The 9,442-nt window shown below is 50.6% G+C and overlaps 2 annotated features.

Annotated features, from left to right (window-relative positions):
* Positions 730-1,571: an enhancer, noted in NCBI's record as "H3K4me1 hESC enhancer chr21:46739283-46740124 (GRCh37/hg19 assembly coordinates)". NCBI's record gives its function as "activates a minimal SCP1, AML or CMV promoter by ChIP-STARR-seq in primed H9 embryonic stem cells {active_cell/tissue: H9 hESC(primed)}" and the evidence as "EXISTENCE:reporter gene assay evidence [ECO:0000049][PMID:30033119]".
* Positions 1,572-2,415: an enhancer, noted in NCBI's record as "H3K4me1 hESC enhancer chr21:46738439-46739282 (GRCh37/hg19 assembly coordinates)". NCBI's record gives its function as "activates a minimal SCP1, AML or CMV promoter by ChIP-STARR-seq in primed H9 embryonic stem cells {active_cell/tissue: H9 hESC(primed)}" and the evidence as "EXISTENCE:reporter gene assay evidence [ECO:0000049][PMID:30033119]".

Raw genomic sequence — 9,442 nt, 5'->3', positions numbered from 1 at the left:
TCTGCAAAGCCCCAGTGTGGCCACGTGGGGTGGCCTCAGCCAACAGCCCAAGCTGAGCCCCACCCCAGCCGCCTGCCCTTCCTGCCCTCCCTGCGCTGAGCCACTTGGGTGCCCTTCAGGAGTCCCTGAGCGAGAGCCACCAGCTGAGCCCCGCAGCTGCAGAGCCTGGTCTGGGAGGTTTTATGAGATCCACCACCCGTGTGATGGGGACTGAGGGTCCATCCGCATCTCTAACAAGCCACTGGTGATGGTGATGTGGAGCAGGGGCCACGGTGGTGGGGCGAGGGCTCAGCCTCCAGTGGGGTAGATGCCTCTCCCAGGACAGGGAGGGCCGGCTGTTCTGGGTGCCTGCTGCATCTGGGGACTTCCTAGCAATGCCTCCTTCACCCAGTCCTGGGGAAAACTCGGCCCGCTGGCCCACCTGTCTGCCAGCTGCTGATCCAATGCAGCAGGGAGCTCCAGGGGACGCCGGGCTCAGTGCCAGGCCTCGAGGCTCTGATAGCAAACCAAAGGCTGCCCTGCCCTCCTAGGGCCAGGACGGTCACACTCTGGGTCCTGGCCTCCCATCTTCAGTGTGTGCTCCTGAGCCCGAGTCCCTCCGAGAGGAGGGATACATTTCCTGGGATTATAGCCACACGCTCCAGCTAGTCAAGTGCACCTGGGCCACCTGCAGGAGGAGGCCCGTGGCCCCAGGAAACCTCTCACTGCACTCACTGGTTTGGCACTTTCTCCACATCGAATGACTTACCATAAACTTGTATTTTTGAACCACTAAAATACATGTGTTATTTGGGCCCAGCCCTGGTGTTGGAGTAAGAGCTTCTAAAAATAAACACTTGCTAGGCTCCCACAGCAGAGCCTCCAAGGCGCGGCTTAGCGGGACCAGACGATCACCATGTAAGGCTGCCGAGGGCCAGCTCTGAGCTCCATCCCCCTCTTCTCTCCCAGGTCCCCCCAGGCCAAGGTGTTGGTCAAATTCCTTCAAATCTTAGGGGAGACTCACAGGAAACAGGAGGGAGTCTGGACCCCAGGGCGAAACGGGCCAGGAGCAGCCAGGTGGCCGTGTGGCCCCACGTCCAGCTGCAGGCCATTGTCAGGGCAGACCCTGGCGCTCAGAGAGCATCTTGAGCCTGGACAGAGCCTTATAAGGCGCTCCTGGGGTTGTGACACATGCTCCAAGAATAGCCTCCAGGCTTTGTCTTCCGACGGGCTGGCGCCAGGGTCCTGCAGAGAGTGCCTGGCGCCAACCAGGGGCCAGTCAGGCACATGCACACCGGCCTCCTTCCTGCCAGCCCACTGGGCTGGGGTTTCCCAGGGCTGCGGGAAGGGAAGTGGAGGAAGGACGTGGCACCGCGGCTGGCAGGTGCAGGCTGGGGCTCTCATCCTGGTGCTGACCCCACCTGGTCAGGCAGTGCCCACACGGGACCAGACTAGGACCCTCAACCTTTTCTACTGCACCTTGCTGGCCGGCAGGCAAAGCCTCTGGGCTCACAGAATGCCGTTTAAACATGTGTCGTGTAAAACATACAGGACCCTCACCCGAACATACTGCCATGCGGTCATAAAACATTTCAACTGTGTTGATGGAATACATGTGAGTCCGGTCTGGCTGCCACCACTGTCCTCTCCCGTCCAGCTTCACAAGTGGCCGAGCTCCTCCACGACCCTGCAGGAAGGACCAGCAGCACAGCATCTCTCGGCATTGCCAATCAGCTGTCTGGTGGGGTCCCTGTGGAGTCAGGGCCATTCCTCCGGCCTGTCCACCTGACCTGCTGCCTGCACACAGGCCTCACGCCCTCACTCACGCTCACACATGCTCCCTGTCCCGACTGCAGCAGCCCTTCCCCCTTGGGGCCTGGGTGTCCCTTCCTGTCTCCCTCTGCCTGAGGAGGGACCGGCGTCCGGTGCCCTTTGACCTTGGCCTGGCTCTGAAGTGAGTCATGGAAAACCTCGCCGCTGGGAAGGAAGGCGCTTGTCCTCCCAGACCCAGGTCTGCAGCAGTTGTGACCACGCCCATCCCAATGGCCCTGCCTGACAGCAGGGAGGCCAGTCCACCTCCAGGTAACAGGCCCCAATCCTGGAGCCCAGCCTAGAAGAACTGCCAGGGGGTGGACGCAGGGCCTCAAGGCTCCCAGAGCACGGCCTGCAGAGCAGATAGACACAGGGCCAGGGCAGGAAGGGGCAGGATGGGGGTGGGGGCAGGAGAGGAGGCCAGAGTGGGGCTCCAGAGGGGCCCGGCCTCACCCTGGAGCTGGGCCGGGGTCGGGGCTGTGACCTCCAGGTTCATTGGGCCCTGGGTGGGGAAAGGCACCCTCCATGTCATGCCCAGTGCATGCAGGGGTCCCCGAGAGGCCTGGGCACCCAGGGACAGCCCCCACCCCAGCCCACCTGGCAGCCACTGCAGGTGACCAGAAGGCTAGTCCCAGGCTGTGGGAAGATGGCCCAGGGCTTGGTGGGGAAGGAACATCAGGGGACGGGGCAGGAAGGGGAATGGAGCCCCTCTGGAGGAGCCTGAAGCCCCTGGGGTGGTGCACGTGGAGTTTCTCAGCCAGAGAAGTGGGGGCCAGAGGAGTGGGGGCAGCCACCCACGTCCTGGAGACGGTGACTGACCTGGAGGTGGTGGGGGGGTTCGATTTTTCATGAGTGGAGGAGCTTGGGGCTCCCCAAGCGCATGTCGGGGGGCACTTCCTGGTTCCTTGGCCTCTGGCCTGTGGGTGCCCAGCCCCTAGGACCAGCCTGGAGGTAACATCCAAATGGGGTGGGATTCCCTGAAGGCCACAGGGACCCCCTCACAAGCCTTCTCCCAAGTACCCCCACCCTGGACCCTCTGAGCTGGCCTGAAGTGGGGGTCTTGGGGTGACCGTCTCAGCCCCTCCTCACGTCCCCAACTCCAGGCTGAGCCAGGCGTGGCCTCCTCCACCGTGGCCTCCTCTGCCATGGGTGCTGAGATTGCCCTGCTTCCTCCCACCCTGTTTCTTCTTGAGATTGGGGTGGGCGGCCTGGCTGGGGACACTTGAGGTCACCCCCGGGCCCCCAAGGCCAATCACGGCAGGACTAGGCGTCCTAAGAGGAGGCGGAGTGGGGATCTGCTCACCAAAGCCACAGAAGAGGATCCCAGGCTAACCCGGGTCCTTGCAGACCGATGGGAATCCATGAAGTCAAACAGGGTGAATTTCTAAGACAAAAGCTGGTGTTGTTTATTTTTTGTGACTGAGTCACTCTTCCCAGCCTCTTCCCAGGATGGAGATGCCAGCATTGTTTCTCGCCCCCTCGCCTCTTTCATGTGTGTCCTCAATGCCCCAGTGAGAAAGGGAGGGACAGACAACAAGCTCAGGTCCCAGCCCCCACCCCACCTACATGCCCATTTCTGCAGCTGTCGGAAGCTGCAGTGCAAGTTCCACGCTAGTGGCTGGTGCTGTGAAGGTACCACGGCCAGGAAGTGAGGTCCCAGAAGCAGCCTGGGCACCCCTGGGCGCTGGGTAGAAATGCAGAGTCCCAGGCTCCAGCCCAGACCTGCTGAGTCAGAATCTGCATTTTAACAAGAGCCGGGGTTCCAGGCCCCTGTTGAGGAGCACTCAGGGGGCTTCCATTGGCCCCAGCTCTAAAGAAGTCGTGCGGCCCGGCCCGTGTACAGGTATGACCATTTGGCCAAGGCTGCCCTTCTCAAAGACCTGGGCGGCACCCTTAGACGGCTTCTTAGAGGCCTGGGTGGGCCCCCCCCCCACACCAGGGTCCGGGTGGGCCAGGGCACCTGCATTCCTACAGCACCAAGGGTGCCCAGGCTGCTGGTTGGGGCACACTTTGAGCCGCTCCCGGGCGTAAGACAGTAAACTCCACCCACAGGAGCTTTTGGCTGCATTTGGGCTAAGGATGGTTTGCACGTGTTTAAATGCTTGGAGAAAAATACAAAGAAAAACATGGACAGAGCAGAGTGGGTGCACGGACCATGTGGCCGCAAAGCTTAAATCCATTACTTTCCAGGCCTCGACAGAGCTGGCTGGTCCCTGCTCTGAGTAACAGAGAAAGTAAAAGAGCCCCCCTAAGAGAGCCGGTTCCCTTTGATAACCACAGCCCCTCACGCCCCGGCCTCCCCCACCTCCCCCGCCTCCGGAGATCACACTCGCGTGCCACTGATGCCTGGTGCCTTCACACTTTCCACCTTTGCCAGGATTTTCTCTGGCTACTATAAGCTGAGCATTCTTTAGCATCTATCATTCCCATGTCCACCACTGGCCTTCTGACTTGGTTTCTGGGGTCTTTGGTGATAAAGTTGTGTTAGCTTCTGCTGCAGTCCACTTTATCTTCTCCTCCTCTGCTCCACGTGGGGCTGCGTCTTTGTTTGGGAGAGTTGCTATTCTAAGGTCCGTGTTCTCCTCTAATATCTTTTTAAGTTCCGGTGTATATGTGCAGGTGTGTTACATGGGTAAACATGTCCCATGGTGGTTTGCCGCACCTATCAACCCATCACCTAGGTATGAAGCCCAGCACACATTAGCTCTTTTCCCTAATGCTCTCCACCCCCACCCTCCCCCAACAGGACCTGGTGTGTGTTGTTCTCCACCCTGTGTCCGTATGTTTTCATTGTTCAGCTCCCACTTATAAGTGAACATGCGGTGTTTGGTTTTCTGTTCCTTTGTTAGTTTGCAGAGGATAATGGCTTTCAGCTTCATCCATGTCCCTGCAAAGGACGTGATCTCGTTCCTTTTTATAGCTGCATAGTATTCCATGGTCTATATGTACCACATTTTCTTTATCCAGTCTATCACTGATGGGCATTTGGGTTGATTCCATGTCTTTGCTATTGTGAATAGTGCTGCAGTGAACATACGTGTGCATGTATCTTTATAATAATTTATATTCCTTTGGGTATATACCCAGTTATGGGATAGCTTCTCAAATGGTATTTCTGGTTCTCAATCTTGGAGGAATCACCACACTGTCTTCCACAATGGTTGAACTAATTTACATTCCCACCGGCAGTGTAAAAGTGTTCCTATTTCTCCACAGCCTTGCCAGCATGTGCTGTTTCCTGACTTTTTCATAATTACCATTCTGACTGGCATGAGAACTCATTGTGGTTTTGATTTGCATTTCTCTAATGACCAGCGATGTTAAGCCTTTTTTCATGCATTTGTTGGCTGCATGTATGTCTTTTTTTGAGAAGTGTCTGTTCATATCCTTTGTGCACTTTTTAATGGGGTTGTTTGTTTTTCTCTTGTAAATTTGCTTAAGTTCCTTGTAGATTCTAAGTGTTAAACCTTTGTCAGACAAACAGATTGCAAAAAATGTTCTCCCATTCTGTAGGTTGTCTGTTCACTCTAATGATAGTTTCGTTTGCTGTGCAGAAGCTCTTTAGTTTATTTAGATCCCATTTGTCAGTTTTTGCTTTTGTTGCCATTGCTTTTGGCATTTTCATCATAAAATCTTTGCCTGTGCCCATGTCCTGAATGGCATTGCCTAGATTTTCTTCTAGGGTTTTTATAGTTTTGGGTTTTACATTTAAGGCTTTAATCCACTTTGAGTTAATTTTTGCATAAGGTGTAAGGAAGGTGTCCAGTTTCAATTTTCTGCATATGGCTAGCCAGTTCTCCCAGCACCATTTATTAACTAGGAAATCCTTTCCCCATTGCGTGTTTTTGTTTGGCTTGTCGAAGACCAGATGGTTGTAGACATATGGTGTTATTTCTGAGTTCTCTATTCTGTTCCATTGGTCTATGTGTCTGTTTTTGTACCAGTACCATGCTGTTTTGGTTACTGTGGCCTTGTAGTATATTTTGAAGTCAGGTAGCATGATGCCTCCAGCTTTGTTATTTTTGCTTAAGATTGTCTTAGCTATGAGAGCTCTTTTTTGGTTCCGTATGGATTTTTAAATAGTTTTTTCTAATTCTGTGAAGAATGTCAATGGTAGTTTAATGGGAATAGCATTGAATCTATAAATTGCTTTGAGCAGTATGGCCATTTTCATAACATTGATTCTTTCTATCCATGAGCGTGGAATGTTTTTCCATCTGCTTGTGTCCTCTCTGGTTTCCTTGAGCAGCAGTTTGTAGTTCTCCTTGAACAGGTCCTTCACTTCCCTTGTTAGCTGTATTCATAGTTATTTTGAACTCTATGCAAATAAACTGGAAAATCTAGAAGAAATGGATAAATTCCTGGGCACATACATCCTCCCAAGACTGAACCAAGAAGTTGAATCCCTGAATAGACCAATAACAAGTTCTAAAATTGAGGCAGTAATAAATGGCCTGCCAACCTAAAAAAGCCCAGGTCCAGATGGATTTACAGCTGAATTCTATCAGAAGTATGAAGACGAGCTGGTACCGTTTCTTCTGAAACTATTCCAAATAATTGAAAAGGAGAGACTCCTCCCTAACTCATTTTATGAGACCAGCATCATCCTGATAGCAAAACCTGGCAGAGACACAACAACAAAAAAGAAAACTTCAGGCCAATATCCCTGATGAACACCAATGTGAAAATCCTCTATAAAACACAGGCGAACCAAATCCAGCAGCACATCAAAAAGCTTATCCACCACGATCAAGTCAGCTTCATCCCTGGGATGCAAGGCTGGTTCAACATACACAAGTCAATAAACGTAATCCATCACATAAACAGAACCAATGACAAAAACCACATGATTATCTCAATAGATGCAGAAAGGGCCTTTCATAAAATTCAACACCCTTCGTGTTAAAAACTCTCAATAAACTAGGTATTAAAGGAACATACCTTGAAATAGTAAGAGCCATTTATGACAAACCCATGGGCAATATCATACTGAATGGGCAAAAGCTGGAAGCATTCCCATTGAAAACCAGCACAAGACAGGGATGCCCTCTCTCACCACTCTTTCCCAACATAGTGTTGGAAGTTCTGACTCCAGGGCAATCAGGCGAGAAAAAGAAATAAAGGGTTTCAAATAGGAAGAGAGGAAGTCAAATTGTCTTTGTTTGCAGATGACATGATCCTGTATGTAGAAAACCCTATCGTCTCAGCCCAAAAGCTTCTTAAGCTGATAAACAACTTTAGCAAAGTCTCAGGACACAAAATCAACGTGCAGAAATCACAAGCATTCCTATACACCAACAACAGATAAGCAGAAACCCAAATCATGAGTGAACTCCCATCCTCTGATATCTTATAGTTTCCCTTCCTGTTTAGGCTTTTACTGTCTGTGAAACATGTTTTTGGGAATGAAGTGAGGAATGGGAGGAATGGCTATTTATTACTACCTCAATTTCAGAACTTGTTATTGGTCTATTCAGGATTCAACTTCTTCTTGGTTCAGTCTTGCGAGGGTCTGACTTCACATGTACTGGGGAGTCCATCGCATACCCCTCATTTGAGAAACCGCCCTTATCACGAATGGGACTCCCACAGTTGCGTGGAACTTTTCCTGCCCTCTCAACTCCACTCCGCTGGTTTATTTCTCTATTCCTGCTTCATTTACTCTCGCTTTCTTATGCATGTCTATTAACGCAGCTTGTCCTTCTTAGTTTTTTTTTAAATAGACTTTATTTTTTAGGGAAGGTTTAGGTTCACAGTAAAATCGAGCAGGCGGTACAGAGTTCCCATGCACCCTCTGCCCCACCACAAACATGCAGCCTCCCTCACCATCAACACCCACACCGGAGCGGCCCATTTATTACAAGCCATGAGCCTGCGTGGCCACATTGTCAGCACCCAAAGACCCTGGTCCACACGAGGGCTCGCTCTTGGTGCTCTTCATGCCGTGGGTTTGGACAGATGTGCAATGGCATGGATCCACCACTGCAGTCCCACACAGAGCGGTTCTGCGCCCTGAAGATCCCCTGGGCTCTGCCTGTCTGTCCCTCCTTCCTGAGCGCTGGCGACCACGATATTGCCTTTTCCAGAGTGTCACATGGTTAGAATCACACCGTCTGTAGACTTCTCTGCATGGCTTCTTTCACGTAGTAATACATAGTCAAGGCTCCTGCATGTTTTCTCCTGGCTGCTTGACAGCACATTTCTTTCTAGCACTGCATCATATTCCACTGTCTGGGTGTGCCACGGTCCACCTACCCCTTTCACCTACTGAAGGACATCTTGGTTGCTTCCAAGTTCTGGCAATTATGAATAAAGCTTCTATAAACATCTGCATGGAGGTGATTGTATGGAAATAAATGTTCACTTCCTTTGGGTAAATGCCAATAAATGTAATTGCTAGAATGTATAGTAAGAACACATTTAGTTTTGTAAGAAACTGCAAACTGGCTTCCAAAGTAGCTGTGCTGTTCTGCATTCCCACCAGTGATGAGTGAATGCCAAACTTTGCTCCACACCCTCACCAGCATTCAGTGGTCAGTGTTCTGGAATCTGACTTCCTAACAGGTGTGTGGTGGCATCTCATTGTTGTTTTAGGTGCATTTCTTACAATCTTTACATGTGCTTCTTTGCCATCTGTGCATCTTCTCCAATGAAGTGTCTGTTCAGGTCTTTTGCCCATTTTTTAATCGGGTTGTTTGTTTTCTTACTGTTGAGTTTTAAGAGTTCTTTATATATTTTGGATAACAGTCCTTTATCAGATGTGTATTTTGCAAACACTTTCTTTCAGTTTGTGGCTCATCTTCCCATTCTTTTGACTTTGTCTTTTGCAGGGCAGAGGGTTTTAATTTTAATGAGGTCCAGCTTATCACTGATATTTTTTCATGGATCAGCCTTTGATGTTGTACTTTAAAAACATCACCAAATCCTAAGTCATCTAGATTTTCTCTTGCGATACCTTCTAGGAGTTTTATAGTTTTGCATTTGACATTTAGGTCTGTGATAAATTGTGAGTTAATTTTTATGAAGGTTTTATGGTTTGTGTCTAGATTCATTTGTTTTTTCTGCATGTGGATGTCCAGTTGTTCCAGCACCATTTGTTGAAAAGGCTATCTTTAGTCCATTGCACTGCCTGTGCTCCGGGGTTGAAGACCAAGTGAAGATATCTGTGTGCATCTGTGTGCACAGTGCTCTCCAGAGAAGCAGAGCCAAGAGGATTGGTGGATGGATGGATGGATGGATGAATGGATGGATGGATGGATGGATGGATGGATGGGTTCATGTGTTCGTGCTGTCACTGGGCCCGGAACATCCTCCCCACACACCTCCACCTGTGGACATGCTGTGTGTGTGTGTGTGTGTGTGTGTGTGTGTGTGTACACATGTGTACACGTTTTCCTGGGCCACTCTGGTGTGGGTGTTGATGGTGAGGGAGGCTGCATGTTTGTGGTGGAGCAGAGGGTGCATGGGAACTCTGTACTGCCTGCTTGATTTTACTGTGAACCTAAACCTTCCCTAAAAAGTAAAGTCTATTTTAAAAAGCGAAGAAGGACAAGCTGCGTTAATGGACATGCCTAAGAAAACTAGAGTAAATGAAGCAGGAATAGCGAAATAAGTCAACGGAGCAGAGATGAGAGGGCAGGAAAACACGCAC

This window comes from Homo sapiens, chromosome 21 (assembly GCF_000001405.40).
Source record: "Homo sapiens chromosome 21, GRCh38.p14 Primary Assembly".
NCBI classification, from domain to species: Eukaryota; Metazoa; Chordata; class Mammalia; order Primates; family Hominidae; genus Homo; species Homo sapiens.
The sequence above is the reverse complement of the archived record's forward strand: the minus strand, read 5'-3'. Positions and strand labels throughout refer to the sequence as shown.